The sequence below is a fragment of the Homo sapiens genome, chromosome 4 (assembly GCF_000001405.40).
Source record: "Homo sapiens chromosome 4, GRCh38.p14 Primary Assembly".
NCBI lineage: Eukaryota > Metazoa > Chordata > Mammalia > Primates > Hominidae > Homo > Homo sapiens.
In genome coordinates, this window is record NC_000004.12 from 148,239,227 (window position 1) to 148,260,547 (window position 21,321).

General features: G+C 37.6%; 1 protein-coding gene across 10 annotated transcripts in view; it reads right to left on the reverse strand.

The window, feature by feature from the left end:
* Positions 1–21,321, reverse strand: part of NR3C2 (nuclear receptor subfamily 3 group C member 2) — a 366,559-nt gene that overhangs the window by 160,463 nt on the left and 184,775 nt on the right. For 8 of the 10 annotated variants that reach the window (NR_148974.2, NM_001437655.1, NM_001437654.1 and 5 more), the window contains exon 3: positions 20,752–20,891. Coding sequence is in view for 9 of the 10 variants with exons in the window: in NM_001437655.1 (NP_001424584.1) it covers positions 20,752–20,891 (140 nt within the window). In the remaining variant the exon portion in view is untranslated. Of the gene's footprint in view, positions 1–20,739; positions 20,892–21,321 lie in introns of all 10 variants that reach the window. The other 2 variants (NM_001437657.1, XM_011531978.3) reach the window with 1 other exon arrangement.

Below are 21,321 nucleotides of genomic sequence, written 5' to 3' on the forward strand. Positions count from 1 at the left end.
ATCCTCACTGCACAGTGATTCTAAGTGATGTATCAGCAACATTATTAAATGCCATGGGCCTTTCTCTTAAGGCCAGGGTCCCAGTCTGTAAAATGAGTTTGCTCAGCACAGTTGGTAACCCTGGGTTTCTGCAGGCCTATGCAAGGCATGGAGTCTTCAGTTCAGCACTGGGGCTACCTTTCCTTTGCCTGCTGCTTCTGGCTCTCTCACCTACCCACACTCTTGAAGAGTATCTGCCCCTCTGCCTCTGGTTGAAGGCTATCTGACAGTAATGCCAGAATTAAATAGGGACCATTGGAGGCTTCTGCATACTCCAAGTTTCTAAAATGTGAAGAGAACCACAACTACAAAGATGCAGAGGACAGGCAACTGGCGAGTTGCCAGGAAGTGCCTGGAAGCCACCAGGCCACCAGAAGGCACAGTTCTTAAAACTTGCTAATAAGCTCATTATATCTGGCTGTAAGAAGCGGTATGAGGTCCACAGTTTATGAAAACATTTTGTCAGTTTTTTGGTATATGGGAAGATGAAGAAAACACCATGTGAAAAATGAGGTGTGAGGAAAGACTCCCTGCTGTCTGGGAGAATGGAACCTTTTCGAAGTTTTTGTGGACACATTTTCAAGTGGTTTTCCTCGGTGGTCAAACTTTGGAAGCTTCAGAGAACACATCATGATGGGGTCTGGTTTTCTCCCCTCCTCTTTCACGATGATGGGGTTTAGTTAGTGCACACATGGCTGTGCAGTGAGGAAGCACAGCAGGAGGTCATGTGTGTGCGTGTGTGGGGGGCCAGAGGGGCAAATAACAGAAGAGCACAGAAGCAAATCATAAATTTCCTGGCACAGCCACATTAAAAAGTAAAAATAAGTAGGTGAAATTAACTTTAGTAGTATATTTTTATTTAACCCAACCTAGCCAAAATATTAGCAATTTAATCTGTAATTAAATTTAATGTTATTAAAAATGTAATCAGTATAAAAATTATCAGATTATCAGATATTTTATATATTTATAAATTATATATATATTTATATATAAATATATATATTTTATATATATTGATTTTTCATACAAGTCTTTAAACCCCAATGTGCGTTTTACACTTACAGAACATCTCAATGTAGATTAGCCATATTTCAAGTGTTCAAAAGTCACATGTGGCCAGTGTCTACCACATTGGACAGTGCATGTTTCAAGTATTTTAACCAGACATTCCACCCGCCTTATATCATAAGGCCATCAGAATACATAGACATTTTTCTTGTAGCAAAAGCAGCCAGCCTAGATTAAGGGGAGGCTCTCATTGCTAGGAGATGCTAGTTTCAACAGGCTCATGCCAGAATGCCCAGGGCAGAGTATGAAATATACAGCGACAGGGGCGGGGTCAAGGGTGAGGTCAGGTGGCAGAAGTGATGGACTTGTATCTTAAACCTATAGCTCCCCATTATAGGAACAGAACTATTCCTGATGTAAAATCTGTTGAGGTCTGCTTTCCAAAAACACTTTTTCCATCCACTCCTATTATTCCAGACTAAAGGTCTGGGAACAAAGGAACACATCTGCCCGTCCTTGCTGCTGTGAGATTGCAGGAAGCAAGTCTTCAGCCTTAGTTACCTCACCTGGGAAATGGTGGAAAATGCAGAGCTGCTAAGTGCTGTGCCTGGCCACGGGCCTTTGTAATCTTTCTCACTGCCTCCTGGATTTCCTGTTAGGATGAGGTGCCATACTTCTCTGGAACTATAAAGGATGAAAATCATTCCATGGCTTGCTTCCCAACGCCTTTAGAAAAAAATAAAATCCAGCTGGGCGCGGTGGCTCACGCCTGTAATCCCAACGCTTTGGGAGGCAGACGTGGGAGGATCACCTGAGGTCAGGAGTTCGAGACCAGCCTGGCCAACATGGTGAAACCCCGTCTCTACTAAAAATACAAAAATTAGCTAGGCATGGTGGCGCACACCTGTAGTCCCAGCAACTCAGGAGGCTGAGGCAGGAGAATCACTGGAACCCAGGAGGCAGAGGTTGCAGTGAGCAAAGATTATGCCATTGCACTCCAGCCTGGAAGACAGAGCAAAACTCTGTCTCAAAAAAAAAAAAAAAAAAAAAAAAAAAAGGGGAAAAATAAAATCTAATCTCCCTATAATTGGCTTTGAGGCCCTACATGATCTAGTAAAACTTAAGTCTCTGCCCCAACTCTAATGGCACACTTATTTTATCTCCCTTCCATACCACATTAGCCATTGCCTTTTTCTTTGGCATTCTAGCCTCCTTCCTGCCCCAGGGCCTTTGCACCGTGCCAGGGCACACTTTAAGCTCTCGTGTGTCTCATATTCCAAGTCTCAAGCTCCTTTTCCAACTGGGCCTCTCCAGACCACACTGACTAACATAACCATTCCCTTGCACTTTACCTGCGCCATCGGATCATCTTTTCCTTCCCCCACCCATTCTATTTTACCTGTTTGCTTATTTGCAAATTGTCTGTCTTCCTCACTAGAACTTATTCTCTGTGAGGGCAGTGGTAGCCTCTGCCCCCAGTGCCAATGACAGCATCTGACACCCAGGAGATATTCAACAAATATTTCATGATTATGTGAATAAATGGATGCTATGAAAATACAGAGTTTCATCATTAACTACTACAGCAAATCATATTGTAGGGAGTTATTTTTCATCATAAAAATATTTTATTAAGAACATTATGCTAAGCTAAATAAGCCAGTCAAAAAAGGACAAATGTTGTATAATTTCACTTACATTAGGTACCTAGAGAAGTCAAATTCACAGAGACAGAAAGTAGAATGGTGCATGACAGGGGCTGGGGGGAAGAGGAATTAGGATTTAAGTGTTTAATAGGTACAGATTTTCAGTTTTTGCAAGATGAAAAAAGTTCTGGAGATGGATGGTGGTGATATGGTTGCATAACAATGTGAATGTCTTAATGCTGCTGAACTGTACACTTGAAAATAATTAAGATGATAAATCTAATGTGTATTTTATCACCATTGAAAACTGCTACAATGATATACACTTATCAAACAGGCACAAAGTAAGGAGATGGCGGCATCTGTTGCTGGTGGGGATGGAGGAAGGGTCCTCAAACTACTGGAAGAAATGTGAATTATTTCCATCTTTGGAAAGCAATCTGGCAACATTTCTTAAAATAATTTGACTCAGAATCTTAATCTAGAATCCTATTAAATGCAATAAATGTAGGAATATGCATACATATAAAGCATCTTCTGAGCAGCACTCTCTTTCCACTAAACTGTGAGCCACATGTGAGAGGGGTCCACAGCATACAGATTTCTTGATTCCTGTGGGCCCTGAATTTACTGGACAAGTAAAGCAACATCACAACATAATTAGCTGTCATATAATTCCCTGCTATGCTTAAAGGATAGACATTTTCTCTTTCTTCCTCATTCTTTTTCTCTAAAATTTTACAGAAAATATTTTCTCACAGAAGCAGGGGAAAGACTACTTACTAAAAACTGTTTAACCAATGCAAATGTATCATCAAATCAACTTCTCTTTAGGATAAGAAATTTAAAATCTATTACAAAGAGAAACAGTTTGCATATATAAGAAGCTGAGGTATATCAGTGAGTGAACTGCTATCACATTAAGCTTCAAACATTTGATTTTCCAAGACATTTTGTCAAATCAAAAGTTTTATGTGTACTCAATGAGACTAACTTAACACACAAAAATACTATTAAAATGATTCTAATAAAGGTAGGAACGTTAATTGGTTACAGGACGGTTACTATTTTAGGTGGCAGGATTTCTTCATACTTTTCAGGTTTTTTTTTTTTTTTTTAATTTTTAGAGACAAAGTCTCACTCTGTCACCCAGGCTGGAGTACAGTGGTATGATCATAGGTCACTGCAGCCTTGAACCTCTTGGCTCAAGAAATCCTCCTGCCTCAGCTTCCTGAGTAGCTAGGATTATGGGTGTGTGCTACCATGCCTGGCTAATTTTTGTTTTTTATAGAGATGGAGTCTTGCTGTGTTACCCAAGCTAGTCTTGAATTCCTGGCCTCAGGCAATCCTCTCCTGTTGGCCTCCCAAAGCACGGGGATTACAGGTATGAACCACTGTGGCTCAGCCCTAAAGACATTTCTTTAACTTTGGGAAAGAGGGTCACATGATAAACAGGATCTCCACAAAGACCACTAATATGCTCTTTATTACAACTCAGACTGAAGTTAATTTTACTTTATTTGACTGCCTCAATGATTACTTTTTAAAAGGCTTTCCAATATCCACCTAATATGCTTTCGAGTTCCATTTGAGACCAGACTTGCTTCACTGGATTTCAAAGGGCTCCATGACACTTCCTTATATACTAAGGAATATTATATGCCACTTGGAGACTCATTTAGTTAATTTTCATTTTAACAAATACAATTTCCACATAGTGGGTTTTCTTTAAATGGGGTACACTTAACAGCTCAGAACAGAGCTCATGAGTAGTTCCCTGCTACCCTGCTGTCAAAGAAAATATACAATGACACATTCATAGATTAAAAACGTGCAGCCGCTATGATTTCTTACCATAGTATAGAGCATTTGGCACCCATGAAAAGCAAATCAGCTGTGGATTTCAACATCATGCCAAGTATGGCTTTGGTACCATTTCATTAAGAAAACTGCTGTATGATTGCTGCCATAATTTCTGCATCTGAAAAGCTTCCTGTGGTTAGGTCATTTGCAAGTGGTACTATGTACAAAGTTACCAAGACAGGTTGGCTTGAGAGGCAGACAATGGTTTAAGTAAGAGAATGAGTTTATATCACAGTAAATTCTGGCTAATATGTACCAGCAGTGACGTCCACGTACAGGTGGAGCTGGCAGTTAACTCCTGACAAAACTACCACTTCAACAGATGGTGCCTATGATCCTATCCTGAGACATTTACTGACTTCTTTTGTTTAAAACGCCAGTAACACGAAAGCCATCCTCAGTAAACAGTGCGCCCTTTATCTTAGTGTACATATTGGCTTCTTGAGGGCCGGATAGCTACATAGGTTTTGGGGTGAGAAGGGTGTCCATCCCAGGTATTTCTAGGAAAAACTGCTGAAAGTTTAAAAATATGTTTTTAGACAATGTAAATAAACTTCAATTTAAAATTGTTAACCGAAGGCACTCCCTCCCCTCCACTTTTCTCCAATATGCTACACTCGAAATTGTAGCTACTTTGTCAGGATACCAGCAATGGCTCTGAAGTCAGATTCAGGCTTGAGTGTAAGTTTTGTCATTTATAGCTGTGAGATCTTGCCTAAATTACTTACCTGCAAGTGTTTACTAGTATGACCACATGCATAAATACGACTGTGCATAAGGAAAGGGAGATGAGTTTCACTATGCAATTTCATCCCAGGAACACACATGCAGGGTCTTAACTTAGGCTACTACAGGCTGTCAACAAATCTGGTTACTAAAGACCTGGCCTTGAAGGGAGAGGAAGAGCCTAGTATTTTTTTAAAATCAATTATTGCATTATCTTCTCTTTCTTTTAAAAGTTTTTAAGTATCCATGGTCAGAATTTTGGTAAAATTGTTGCAAGTTAGAATTTAAATTACTCCTTTTACAAAAATTACATTTAGGACTTTTGATCTCTGCCCATACCTAATATCATGCAGTGAATCTCTTCTACAAAATAGTGTTATAGCTTTTAATGTCATCCATCACCCTATATGATAATACAACAGAGCAATCTGAGAAACTGGAAAAGCTGCCTGTGGATGTCTGCATCCAATTTCAATGATTTTTTTTTCTCACCAGGATTCGAAGCAGCCCCTTACTGATTTCAAATGCACATTTTATGTTTAGTGCTTGGAGGAGCCGGGTAGTGTTGGAATCTGACATAAAAATTATTATTCCCCTGACATTTTATATACTATTTCATCAAATAACAGCTTTGCATATTATGTGGCACATGTCCAGTCTGACAAGTAATAAGAGCACTGTGAACAGCGATCATTTATTTAATGTCTACAATGTGCCAGGTACTTGGCACACATCATCTCCAATCACTGAAGCATCTTGATAAGCTAAGTATTACCAGATCTTAATTTTATAGTTAAGAATCAGGGAGAGGCTGGGTATCTTGCCCAAAGTCCTAGGGCCAGGAGTGTCACATGATGAAATAAAATAAGAAACACTTTGAAGTCAGAAAAACCTGCGTGCAATTCCTAGCTCTGTCCTTCACTGTGTAACTATGGACAAACTGCTTAATTTCTCTAATTTCCTCATCAAAAATTAGAATATTGCTTAACTTCTACAGAAATTATACAGAAAATAAAATCACAGAATGTCCATTTTGGTGCGAGACTTACAGTAGCATTTAATAAATGCTAACTGATGACTACTGTAAATGGTGACACTGGAATTTGAACATAGCCTCCTAAAGCTATGATTCTGATGACAACCCAGTACATCTAAACTGAACCTAGGAAATGAGACACTATCCTGTAGTCTCAATTACTATTAAAATGAAAAAAAGCAGGTGTCAAGCAAAACCTTTAAACATTAAGCTTTATTAGACTGAACCTGGAAATACTGTCTTCGATGAAAATTTTGTATGTAGAAAGAATTTCATTTTCGATGGAAATTTTGTATGAAGAAAATTTTGTATGATCTACATTACATATGACAGAACTATTTTACTATAAGATTTTAATCAAATCTTAAGCAGTGGGAAGAATACTTATCTTATGATTTACTTGTGTAAAATAAAATAAATCAGTGCCTGGGATTAATTTCCCACTGATTTCTTAATTAGCCATCCAATAAGAATGAGTGGGTACACACAATATGTTCTAGAAGCCTAAGTGTAAGAAACGAATGGTGTTCCCTGGTCAGATGCTATAACAACAACAACAACAACAACAACAACAAAACAGAGGGCTCTCTCCATGAGACTATATGAGGCCATTTCCATTTTTAAAAAGACTGGTCTACAACAGGTAGAATGACTGCATTTCAGGTACACACCTTTCTGCATAATAATATTGTCTTCAGTAATTGCTTTTCCTCAAGCAACAAAAAGTCCAAATCACCTATAATGCATAGTAGAATATCATAATACAATTACTAAAGAAAAAATTGTTTACAAGGTGAAAATGTTTGCTAATTTTTCAACTTAAACAAATTTCAGTAACTGTAAAAAATATTTAATACAGAGTTGAGGATTTTAAAAAAATTCACTACTGAAGGTATCATATCCACAAGTATCTGAAATCACATTCTTCTTGTAGTCCAGTTAGCAACTGAGGATCTTCAAATAAATCCTAATCAGAAATGTTAGGAGTATGTTTAATTTTATTATTTTATTTTATTTTTTTGAAATGGAGCGTCGCTCTTGTTGCCCAGGCTGGAGTGCAACGGCATGATCTCGGCTCACCGCAACCTCTGTCTCCCGGGTTCAAGCAATTCTCATTTCTCAGCCTCCAGAGTAGCTGGGATTACAGGTGCTCACCACCACGCCAGGCTAATTTTTTGTATTTTTAGTAGAGACAGGGTTTCACCATGTTGGCCAGGCTGGTCTCAAACTCCTGGCCTCAAGTGATCCGCCCCGCCTTGGCCTCCCAAAGTGCTGGGATTATAGGCATGAGCCACCGTGCCTGGCCTAATTTTATAATTTTAAAAGGGAAGTTGCTTAAAGGAACTTTATATCTAAAACCATTTAGTAACGATATTTTATAAGTATTTCTTAATCCAGTCTCCTATAAAAACAGTGATTTTTATTAATGCCTATTAGCATTACTTTTATTACTATTCCTTTTTAAAATGTAATGTCAGGTCATCTTTGATAGTTAAAAAAAGGATAAAGAGAAAAGCACAATTAGTACTTATGTAATGGTAAGTTATGATAAAGACAGAACAGAAAGCCTACTCTGGTTTCCTGCATAAATGGAGAAACATACTTTCATGTTACTTTTCGATGTGCCACCTCACGATGGGAAATGTAATTTGCTCAAATTTTCAAGTAACTTTAAAAATGCAATAATTTTCTGGTTTTACAGAGAATGTGTTAACGGCTCAATAGAGGTTAATTTTTCCTACTAAAATCATTTCTTTTTTGTTCACATCTCATCCCAATGGGTCACTACTATAAATTACAACTTAGTCTGATAAAGAAACTAGCTACCCGTATCTGAAAACTCCAATTTTCTGCCTAGTGAACTGAGTTCAGTAGTGGGCAACTTTGTAAAATGGGAAATCTTTCCTGCTTCTATTTGACTTTTGTGCAATTTGTATTGCTTTACTGAAAAAGACAAAGTTAATTCCTAAGGCCCAATATGATGAGTCTGCTCTACAGGTAATTTTCAAGACACAGTAGATGATTTAAAAAATAGAAGCACACTGCTGAGAATAAAGTCAATTGTGGAATCTAGTATCCGTGGGCCTTTTTATTAGTGGGAATGGACCACAGCACATTCTTGGTGCCTAGTCCATAGTAAGCACTCCACAGCTGTTGCTGAATTGAATGAATGTGCCTGGTTTCTGCTGGCTCTGGACTTGAAGTGTTGCCCTTTCCATTTCCATTTCCGGTTACTGCTTTATCCCAAATTGGCTCTAGCCCTTTTGGTCCCTTACCCCATCATGTGTCTTCTCAGCACTTGCTCATGGGTTGATGTTCTAAGTTCTGAACCTGGTTTTTCATGATTCAGTGTGATCTGACCTCAGTCACTGCTATAGCTCTGGTCTGTCAGATGCCGGTTACATTAGGCAAAGGTCAGCTATTTCAATATTTTAGAGATGCAACATAAGTAATTTTGAATTTTAAGTATCACTAGTGATAACAACTTATGATTTTCAAATAAATCCTAATCTGATGTGTAATTTAAAAAATTTAAATCATGTGATATTTAATTTAAAAAACTGAAAGGGAGGTTGAAGAGATTTTTGATCTAATATTTAGAAATGGCATGACTATAACAATTTCATCGACCATTCTCCTTGGAAACAGTGATTTTTATTTAAGATTTCTAATTAATGGCTAATACTCTTATCATTCCAATTCTTTTTCAAATGTGCTTTCAGTTTATATTGTATTCTAAAAAACAAAACAATTAAAACTTATGTAATCTTAGCAATATCAAATTGCTGAGCCCAGTTCAGCTGGGAAAATGTGATGGTGCAGGCCAGATGAAAAATGACCAACCTAGACTAATCCTGCACTGGTTTTCCAATTAAGTTGTGGGAGGGTAAGAGAATGCAATATGTTTTAGAGATCTTGGTACAGTTAATTAAAGGGAAAAAAGGAAGTAAAAAGTAGTTGTGATCTTCTAAATTGTTTAAGATGCAGAAAGAGCGTGAAAACTATCTTTGCTCTTTGTCTGGTTCTGTATTGGGGCAAACTAAATTTAAATCCTGGTCTTAAATGCAACGGCTTTCTCAGTTGGCCCTTTAGCACAATATTCATAAACAATAGAGATCTACCTAAACCAGTGACAAGGAAGTAAACACTCCAGGTCTTCCCTAAAGTAACATATGTTTTTCTGCAATTTTTACTTTTTCCCCTTCAAATCAAATATTTAACATGTACATAAAGTAGCCACAGTTTAAATATTCCAAATTTTATTGAGAACCAAGGTGTAATATTACTTAACAAAGAAAAACTCTTTAAAATATAACGTTTATAAAGCACTCCCTTGCTGTTTCTAAAGCAGTTTAAACGTATGTGTGTTAATTTTTATCTTTCTAACTCAGAGATGGGCAGGGCAGATACTTTGAAGATTTTCATTTTGTTTACAGACAAGGAAACAGACTTATTTGCTGAGTCTCTGAGTGGGCAGTATCATTCTGTATAACACTATATAAAAATGATATTGGAACCTACAATGGTGCCGCCTTTATTATACACCAGTGATAACACTTACTGGAAAACTCTCAAAGCAAGGGTTCAAAATGTTAGTCAGCCTTTCACTAAATACTAGTAAATGGTCAGTACGGCTTCTAAGAGGGTGGTATGAATCTCCAAACTAAAGCCCTAGGTCTTCCTTTCAAATTGAAGAAGAAAATAAAATATAAAAAGGGATTGAGAGGAAGGAGGAGGTATTTGCTTCCCCCCGACCAAAAAAAAAAATTCTATAGTTTTGATTCCACTGAAACAAGTAAAAAGAACTTAATGAGCCTGTACTAGATCTAGAATACTGTACATAAGTATGAATTTATATCAGACTTATCAAAAATCTCATACCATCTACTTTTCAGCTGATTTGCTATAAGTGACCTTTCAATCTTGTTGATAGTTATGATGCCCTCCTAGATTTGTATTCTTTCATCTTTTGCTTTATTTCATGTTTTCGCTGTTAGAAAAGTAAACATTTTTATAAAGATGCATTCTGTTGTCGAATGTCGGTGATTTAATGAAGCTAAAGGCTCTAGTAAAGACATTAAAGACTCCATAGAGGTGTGAGTTTAAATGTCTTATACCTGTAAGGAGAAAATACATTTCTCTCTCTTCCTTGGGATTGTTCTTTGCTAGGTGAGGTATAAGAATTCACTGTTAATTAGCAAGACAGCACACACAGGAAGGTGACGCTTTTGTAAATGTAATGTTAGAGTCAACAAATTCTAAGAGCTAGCATTTATTAAAGAGCTTCAAATAGGGCCAACCTGAGGGCAAAATGGCATTGCAAGAGTTGTGAGCTCCGTTCTTTGGTGTCAGCCTGTTCTTTTCTTGATGTGGATTTGGTTTATGGTATCAGAAAGATGAGAGGGAGAGAGACAATGTGAGCATGTGCAAAGGTAATTTTACGATAATTTCTGGTGGTTCTGAAGTCTTCTGGCTAACATTCAAGGTTTTGCCTCTGTTCCTTTGCCTCAGAACAGTGCCGAGTGTCTAAGTGGGGCAGACTCTGGAAAAAATGTATTTATATTTTACATATAACTACTTATCTCTAGAAAACTCATTATCAGCTTCTCTTTTTCCTATCTAACAAGTCAAGAAGGGCAGTATATATAGATATTGAGGAATAAGGTTAAAAGGAAAGAACTATTACACTACATGTGTATGTCTTTAAAGAGCAAAATATTACATGAAAAAACCAGGGGCCTTGAAAGACTGACATCTTTTTTTATTTGCTACACAGAAATTTTCTGCCTTCTCAATTATTAATAACTTCATATTGTGGCTTTATATGGTGTCATAAGCTGCTAGAATCATAATTTAGTAGCTCTAACACGAGGACTGACAACAGCACACAATTTCCAGTGATCACGACACCAAGCAGCCCTGTTCCATTGCTACTGAGGGCCCAACACCTTCCCCAGGCTTTTAATTTCATTACGTAACTTCCCATACACTGCACCAAATGACCCCAAATGCCGTGGACATCTGGCTAAGCCAATCTACTGCCAAACTACCTAGTAGCTAACTATGTAGTTTCTTTATTTTAAAACTTGCAAGAAAACAACTCCAGGAAGAGGATAAACTTTTTCAAAGTTTTGTCTTTCTGCTCTTGTATTCCTGTTTATCCAGACTGCTTCATCCATTTTGGCAAACTAATCTCTGAAGCCTCAGTAGTTCTAAACCCCACTCATCTGCCCTATTCTTCAACTGTTTTCAGTATTTTCTTCCTGAGTCTGTCAAAGGTTGCCATCATTCCTCAGAACTGATCCACCATCCAGTGCTGCCAATTCCTCCTTTTTCACAGAGCTGGGTCTGCTCAAGCAGGTGTCCTCAGCCTCCAGTCTCCATCACCTTTTTCTTTTTCTTTTTTTTGGGGGGGAGTGGGGGACAGGGTATTACTTTGTTGCCCAGGCCGAAGTGCAGTGGTGTGATCTCAGCTCACTATAGCCACAATATCCAGGTTCAAGCAATCCTCCTGCCTCAGCCCCCCAAGGAGCTGAGACTGCAAGCATGCACCACCACGCCTAATTTTTTGTTGTTGTTATTGTTCTTTTTGTAGAAATGGGGTTTTGCCATGTTGCCCAGGCTGGTCTCGAACTCCTGAGCTCTAATAATCCACCCGCCTAAACCTTCCAAAGTTCTGGGATTACAGGCGTGAGCCACCGCACCCAACACAGTCTCCATCTAATAGTCTTCCATCACCTGCCTCCTCTCCATGACAACCTAAATGCCCACCCATCCTTCCCATCCTGCCAAGGCTCAATGTTAGTATTTGATGACAGTCAATTTAGCAATTTCCATTTCTGGTGTCAAATCATTCTCAGTAACATCAAATCACACAAGTTATATGATCATAACTACACCACGAGTGCAAGTTCTCTGAGAGCAGCTTCATGTCCTAGGACTCTTGGGTATGGTTTCTGAGCCACTAGGCACAGAGCAGACATCAAAGAGCTGGAGAGCTAGTAGCATTCAGCTTTGTATGAGGAAGGCCATTCTCCCAATGGTTCTCTGAGCCTGATAGGCTACATCTAATTTTTATCACACACAGGAAATGAAACACAGGAAGATAAAAATTTTAAATAAAGCTTTAGATTAATATCAAGATGTTAAAGAGGTACTTCAGGATAGTAATGGTAATTTTTTTTATATATGAAGTTCATTCCTTAAGAAAAAATAGAGATTACCCAATTTCTTTTCCACTAAGGCAACAGAAATTCAAATTAAGGTTTCAACTTGGAATGGGTAAGAGTTAATTATTTAGAGTATAGCAAGATAACTGTTAAATTATAATGTGCTCTTCCTGAGTATTCTAAAGCCAGAGTTGTTGCCCTACTTTTTGATGGGTAAAAATAGTTGGTATCTGATATTACTCTGTGAGAGGCAATATAGCTGATGTGTTAAGTACATACAATCAGAAGGCCTGGGCTGCCTGGGTTCAAATCCCAACTGCATCTCTTCCTTCTTACTGGGTGACCTTGGACAAGTTATTTACTACATGCACGACTCAGTGGATGGATCTCTAAAATGAGGATAGATAATAACCCCACACATTTGATAGAATTATCAAGAGGATTAAAATGTGAATAGACAATCAAGTTCCTAGCGTAAAGAGCACAAACTCCTCAATAAATACTTATTATTTTTAAAAATTAAAGGATCATACCTTTAAGTCTTGTTAAGAAATAGTCAATGTTTTCCCTATGACAACAATTGTTGAGGGAGTTTAGATTCAACGATATTACCTTTCCAAACTCATGAAACTTTGGCTTAAGAAGGCTATTATGAGAAATAAATGAGATAAAATATGAAGTACTTGGCACAGAGCCTGTACCTGGTAAGTACTCAGTAGCTATTCTTATAGGACCAGGTGGGAGACAGAACTAAGTATTTTTCTCAAAACCACTACTTAAGTCTATACCAAACTATTCTATTAGTACCAATGGGAGAGTTACTTTTTAAATCTTAGGATACAAATCAGATGAAAAGAGCAGGCACATTAAAACCAAAGTAGCTCATGAAAATTTTCTTATAAACAGGCAATTCCCTAAACTAGTTTTTAAGAACATCATAAGTCAGGTGACTGTTCATTGGCTTTGGGTTGACTGCTAGAAAGCTGAGTGCCAAATAAGTGGCCAGACTCGACAAAGGCCTTGAGACATATATTCTTTATATCATCTCCATTCTTGGCTCAGTTTTTCCCTCTCTTGCTCTAATCTTCCCTTCCTGTTGTTTTTTTTGTTTCACTTAAATTTCATTTTGACTCATGGAAATCTGTGAGCCACCTTGGATTATTTTCTGGAACAAGATGGGTTGTAAACAAACACATAAACTTGGGAAATAATTTTCAAAATTACATACTGTGCTCCTGACTTAGAGTTTTCAAATTTGCCATGTGAAGTTGTACCTTGATTTAAAATTTAAGCTACAAGCAGCTGTCTTTGGATAATACTAATTTACTTTTGGCTCACACATCCCTATTTCAAATCATTTTCTAATAAATTACTTCAACATATTTTCCACTTTGGAGAAACAAGTGGCATGGTGACAGAAACAAGGGCGAACCCCATTCACATAAGTAGTTACCAACAACACATCAACCAGTGTTCTCTGAGCACCTGCTGCAAGCTGGGTGTTGCCTCTGCACTGGTTTGCAAACCAGATTCCCTCAATATCATGTTTGGTTTGGGGCTCTGGGCTGATTAACATTCATAATAATCAAGGCATAATGATAAAGAACCAAACCTAGGATTGAAAACTGCATAGATTCAATAATGTCTGAAGTTCAGCAAAAATGGTGAATCATCAAAGTAACTAAGACTTTTCTGTGTGCAAGTTGGAAATAGAAGGAGAGAGACTAGTTATTCACACACGTGTGCCACGCATGCACTCAATGTTCTAGACTTATGTTCTTTAAGGTTCTAACGTTGGCCTGCTCTGTCTCTCTGAATACTGATTTCTTGGCCATCTGCATCCACTTTCATGGATGATGATTCTGAAATCCTTATTTTTAATCTTGCCTTGTTTCCCAAGCTTCAAAATTAGATATCCAACTACCTCTTAGATATACCTGAATGTCCCATAGGTACTTCAAACTTGTCCTAAACCAAACCTCATCCAACTCCCCTTTATCCTAACAATGGTTTTTTTCCCCCATAGCCAATCACCTTTTCATATGTTACATAAATAACTCATTTGTTATGCTTAATCTTTTCATCACCCCCTCACTAGAATGTAAGCTCTACCAAGGCAGGGATCGTTGTCCAAGATGTCTCCAGCTATGCTTAGAAAGGTACCTGGCATTTAGTAGGTATTGAGTAAATGTTTGCTGAGCAAATGAACCTTTCATCCCTTGCCCTCAGAGCTGCCCCTGCTCCAGTATTCCTTATCTCAGTGAACGGCGTTAGCAGCCAAGCCTGGGGAGTCATCCTAGATCTTTGCTTCTTCTCTTCCAATATAGAGCTGTCCATGCTACTTTTCAGATGGTCTTACTATCTGCCCGCCCTCTCAATCCCTGATAGCCCTGGTCTAGGTCCATCCTAGGTCATTTCTAGCTCAAGTGATGAAAACAGCCACCATTTAAACAAGTATACCTCACAACAGCCAGATCTTAAGTGCAAAACTGAGCTTATCGTTCTGCTGCATGAAAACATTCAGAGGTTCTGTTTTGCTTAAGGATGAATTCAGACCTTCCTTGGAGTCCAGGACCTGGTCCCAATCTGCTCATTTAACCTCACTTCCTATCACTTCACATATGAAAGTTTATACAGTGGTAACACAAAATTGCTTCTGGTGCCCTGTGCAACAACAGTCTGTTCTTAAGGTCCCTCAGCAAGGCCAAGTCTGATCTCTCAAGATTCAGCATGGGGGTCAATTGTTGGAGAAACCTTCCCTGACCTTTCAGGGTGGCCTAAATGTCATGGCTCTATGTGTTCCCATAACAACCAACTGAAGGGATATCACACATCTGGGCAAACATTTGCCATTAGCACGACAGCCTTATGCTTATGGAAGGAGGAAAGGAGTGTTCATTAAAATCATAGATATAACCTACTGGGTAGGTATTTATTTAGGCTCTTACAGTAAATAATTAGAAAGAGTCAGGTTACCTGGTTCCTAAATTCTGAAAAAGGAGAAAAGAAAAAATATCTTTAAGGTGTTTCATAAGAAAGCAGTAAGCAGACAGTCCTTGGTTTCCTATATCTGACACAGCAAATATTGTGGTTGTGACAATAGGCTCAGATGCTCATAAGCTTCCTGTACATGATTCATGGAAACACCAGGGACTGTATCTTAAATCATTAATTAAAAACATCTAATAAATATACATTAAATTATTCCCCCTACTTTATCAGTTAACTGTACATTGCCAGCTATAAGGAGATAGCTATATTTGAATTATTACGTAATATTAATATTAATAACATTCTGATTTAGCTTGAGTCCACTACAATGAAGTTCTCTGTTTTGTGGCACAAATGCTCACTGCCCCCCCCCAACACACACCTCCCACCTGCTGGCACCCTCACTTGTTCTTCCCTCTTGCTCATGAGTGTGTGCACACACAGCATTGACAGGGATAATGTGGTTTATGACACAGTGAAACACACTTTCCTCTGGAACTGTTCAGTTTACTCATTAATTTTAAAGAACCAAAGAAAACTAATGATTCATAAACCACTACATTTCCTTAAAAATATTTTCTCTCATAGAATACACAATCATAAATTTAAAGATCTTTAAAATGTATGCTGTGAACTGAACTACATGGAAAAGAAATGAGGTACTCGTTCACAGGCTTGGCTGTCTGAAAATATTGCCTATTTGAAAAACCCCAAGATTAACTTGTAATTGTATCTTTTACAGCCATTTAGTTTCAAGATATAGACCTAAGTCTCTTCCTTCAAGGGAAATGTGTGAGTGTGGAAACTGACATCATACAATTTGGCTGACCTTACCAAAATATGGACTCTTAGGTCTGCTTAAACAATTTAAATCCAGTTGACTTTACATAATAATGAGCTCTCTTTCTCTTTTACAGCCATATAACTATTTAGAGATTTGTGGTAGCTGTGTCTTCCAGACACTGCATACATACTGAGTCTTCAAAAAGGAAATTAGGTTATAAAATAGTGTGCTGAATCTAGTCAACTCTGTTCACTGAGGAATCACAAAGTAAAAAACACAGATGAGATGGAACTAATGGCAATTTACAGTTGGAAAGAAACTAAGAAAGTCAAAATTCAGACAAAAATGAGAAATTACAGATTAGAAGTCAAAAGGCCTACACAAATTCTTCAGCTAATTCAATTGACAATTTACTGGGTGGGGGAAGTCATCCAACCTTGATTGCTCTTATGTCACATGGAAATTCATTCAAACATTTATTTGGTGGCTACTAAATATCCACAGCCTTGCTAGATTATTGAGATAAGACTCTGCCTTCTCTAAAAACTTCTAACAGAAGAGGCAAAGCCTGGTTGAGGGCTCTCAGTATTTTCTCAACTGTGAGACTCCCAACTGTGGGACTGCCACAGAGGCTTGTTACAGGAGTAAATCTCAACAGTTCAGTCTGCACTGGAAAAGCCCCTCTAGGACATTTCCACAGATCCCCATTCTCCACACACAGCCTTTGAGAACTGCTAGTTTAGAAGGATCTTGCCACCTCAAAGGGCAGCTCTCAGGACAAAATAACATTACAGGAATAATGAAGATCTAACAAAGGAAAATGAAGGACTGAAAAATGACGACCTAACAACTCAATGTGGTTGTATCATTTACATCATCTCTCTACGTGAACATCACCAGGAACTTTGGCATTTGTTCATAGAGGATAGTAATAATCTAGTATTTTGGTGCTACTTTATAATTTATAAAATCTGTACAAACATTTTCAGGTAATTTTTCACAGCAATGTTCGGGTAGGGCAACACTACTTCTCCATTTATAGACAAAGAAACTGAGGCCCAGAGAAGTTTTAAATAACTTGCCTTAATCTCACACCTAGTGAGTGACGTAAAAAATTAAAACTAGGTTTCTGACCCTTGAAGCCAGTCTAGCTTCCACCACAAGGGAGAACCCTTTTTTTAAGTTATTATTATTTCTTTAAGACAGGAAGGTTCTGAAAATCTTCAAGGCAAATAAGTGATTCAAATTTAAAATGAACGTATAAACCATTTGTAAGGTACAATAATATGGCTACTAACTGACATTATTGGCAAATAAGTTATTTTGGAAGACAGTTCTAAGTGTTTTTATATTAAATGTTTAAGAAGAAGAAAATAAGAACACACATACATCCCATTAAACAGAGCACACACACACAAAAATTTATACTTTAAAATCATAATTTACAGTCTGCATAGTCACTGCTATGCTATTATAGCAAGCTTTAGGGTGACACACTCTAGATCATAAAGCCTTAAGGACATCAACTCAAAACTCAGGCTGGTGTGTTTTTCCTCTTGTCTGCTCTCTAGGGATTATCTTCATGTTCTGTTCCTGGTGCCATTATTTCCTTTTAGCTTTAAATGACTTCCCTCAAATCAGCTCCCTCTACCCACTTTGCCCAGAATTCTCTGCTTCTGTAATCTAACGAGGGGCTTAGGGATGTCAAGGGACATTGGAAAACAAACTTAGTAAATATTTAAATATACAAACATACATCCATACATATATATGTATATACATACAAAGTCACATATATACACAGACTAAGACTACTAAACTGTGCCTTCTTAGTGCTTAGATCACTTCCTTTATTAGAGTCAAGGAGGCATGAATAGACTAACATATAGGTTATAATTTTCATGAACTCAAGAACTGATATGGCAAAATAGCAAGGCTATATTATGAGATTTAGAATCCAGACTTTAGGTTAGGTGTAGGTTTGGAGTCCTATGACTTGAGTAAGGGTCTAACTTTGGCCTTAGGATTAGGAATAGATTGGGTGGACTAAGTTTGATCCTAAATGTCTTCATCTAGAAAAGGAAAATAAAATGACACCTATATACCATGATTTTGTGAAATGAGTTTTACAAATATTATAAAGTTTTATAAAAATAATCTCATTAATTAAAAAATATTTTATATAAAGATAGCCATCTTTTTCACATATTTAATCTCTCTCATACACATGGGATAAAAGAGTAAACTAACAAAAAATACAAAAACACAAAAACAAATAGGTCTTTACTCTCATGAATTTTAGATTTTAAATTAACAGCATTGTTTCAAGCAGGTGAATGATTAAAGTCTAATTCCCAAATCAATACAAAATAAACTATATTAATACAAGTCTTAAAAGGCATTTACCAAGTTTCATTATCCATGGATCGATCAGCTTTCCAATGAAGGAAAAAGTTGCACCTGCATTTAGGTTTTTGTATGTTTATAACTGAGTTATAAAAATAATTCCCTAGGTAATTCCACAGAAACTACTTAAAACAAGAAAAACTAAGCAAGAACTTCTAGAAACCTTTTGCTTCAGAAGTAGAGAAGGGGCAGATTCTACAAACAGCCAAAATGTGGGTTCTGACATGAAGGTGGATCTACAGGTAGGGCCAGCTGGCCAACTGCCTGCTCCAAAATGTCCTTCTCCACATCACTTTATTTTGACATACCACTTACTTTGTTTACTAATTAAGTGAGCCAGAAAGAGGAATTCTTACATTGGAAAGCACAAAGTGGCCTTAGAAAGATGCCAGATGTAAATCTCACCTATTTATCTTTTACTGAACCAATCATCTAATTAAGGAAAGAGAGAAGGAGGCAGGGGAAGCCTCACAAAAGCAAACTGACTTCAGTATTGTGCAAATTTATTTTTCCTACTTTCTGAAAAATTGGCCTTCTGGTAACAGAACCCACATTTTCCTAAGGGAAACGTCCTTCCCCATTCTTGGTCTAGATGGTTCAGGTTGTCCGACTCCAGCCAGAACCAGCCTATCTGATCACTACATTTTCCAGCCACAGGCACTGGGGCAGAGGTGGGCATGTGAGCCAAGTTCAATCTGAGGAGATTCCACTGGGAGCTTTTATAGGAATTGCTAGGAACAGAAAACCTCTTTTTAATGGAGGTCTGGTAGCTGTCTCAGCACCATGAGAGAACGTGCATGAGAACAGAGCCAGAACAAAACCAAGCGACTGAGCGAGCGGGATTGAGTTCTAACGACCTGGCTTAAGACCATGGCTTGCCTGAAGCCAAGCCTACGCTGGGACTTTCCAGTATGTGAGCCAATGAATTTCCATCGGTGCTTAAGCCAGTTTGCTGTATTTTCTATCACCTGTAACCAAGAGCTCATAATCCTGAGAAAGAATTACTGAGCTCCTTTTACCAATTCAATGCTAGGTTTGAGGACTACCAAATAATTAATTGTGTAAATAATGTAAAAATCATGTAATATCAATTAATGCAAAATCAATCTCAAGAGAAAGAATAATTACTTGGTTAACTTTTTCATTCCACAACTAAAGATATGACCTTGTGGTCTCTGGCAAAACACAGGGAAAACATTCAAGCCACTTATGTTTAAGCTTCTGAAGCACCAAGTCATCTCTAAGAAAACTTCTCTGAGAAATAAACCTTAGGGAGTCTTCATGTGGAGCCCCTTAGTGAATGTAATTGTCCATTACACAATGAATCTTTTACTAATAGCAAAAATTCTACACTTTCACCAGACATAGTTTGCAACATCAATAAAACCATCTGGTCTAAGTCTGATGGTAACTAACTGCTTATAAGTGAGGATGGGGAAAGGTAAAAATAAATTAAAGACCATTTCTCCTTAAGGAGTACGATTTTGGGGCAGAAGCAAAAGCTAGCCTAACTGTGCATAGTGAATCTCAGTCAGGTTTTTCATTTAATATGCAAAATTTGGAAACTTTCAGGAGGAATAAAGGTGAGACTCACACAGGGACCTGGAGCTTGAACCAGCTGGTAAATGAAATTATTCTGTATGAAACACAAATCACAGACTTGATTCTGATATTAACGTTTTAATTTGCCACAAACACATATTTATACAGAAACCCAGAAAAGGCAGAAATCATGTATTCTGTGTGTGCCTAGTAAAACTTCTATTCCAGATCACATAAATTAAATTTACAATGACAAGGAATTATTTTTCTGAGTCTTACTGAAAAACAAACTGTGACAAACAACAAAAAATCCTCTTTGGTTGATCCTTGCTCAGAATTTCAAATTTTGCTCATTAAATATTGCTTTGTGGAAAATCTCCAGGTGGTTTTTATACAAGGCACTATTACTGTTTATCACTGACAGATTAAATCAAAAATCTTTTTGAAGAATTCCCAATAATGCTATAGCATTAGCTGTACAAGTAAACTACACACTAGGAAAAAATATGTAAAAGGAACACCCACATGAACATTTACCTTCCACTGCTCTTTTGAAGAAAACTTTGCAGCTGCCACAGGTGACTACCCCATAATGGCATCCTGAAGCCTCATCCCCACACACCAAACATATTTTTGAAGGTCTTGAAGATCCAGTAGAAACACTTCGTAAAGTAGAGCTGGGGAAAGAAATTGAGATTTAAATAACTACACCGTAAAGGCACATTTAACATGCTGCACAGCTTAGCTCAAAATTTGTCAATAATCATGGTTCGATACAAGAATTCAGTGTGTAATGACCACATACTATGTGACTTAGCAAAATAAAGGTAAAACCCGATGAGTGGAGCAATGCTATCAAGGTTATTGTGTAGCAAAGCCTCTTCTCAGTACTGAGAAATAAGAAATAATCAAATGTAAATCTCTTTCCTTCTTTTCCTATTTTTGGAGAAGGTTTATCAAAAAATCACACTATTTGCACTTTAAGTGGGCAGGGCAAAGAATCTTGAACCAAGTCATCAGGGATGTATTTGCTGTCCTTTTATTTTTGCATCAAAGAGCTATTATAATATTACTCAACACTCTTCAGACTCACAGATCTCAATTATG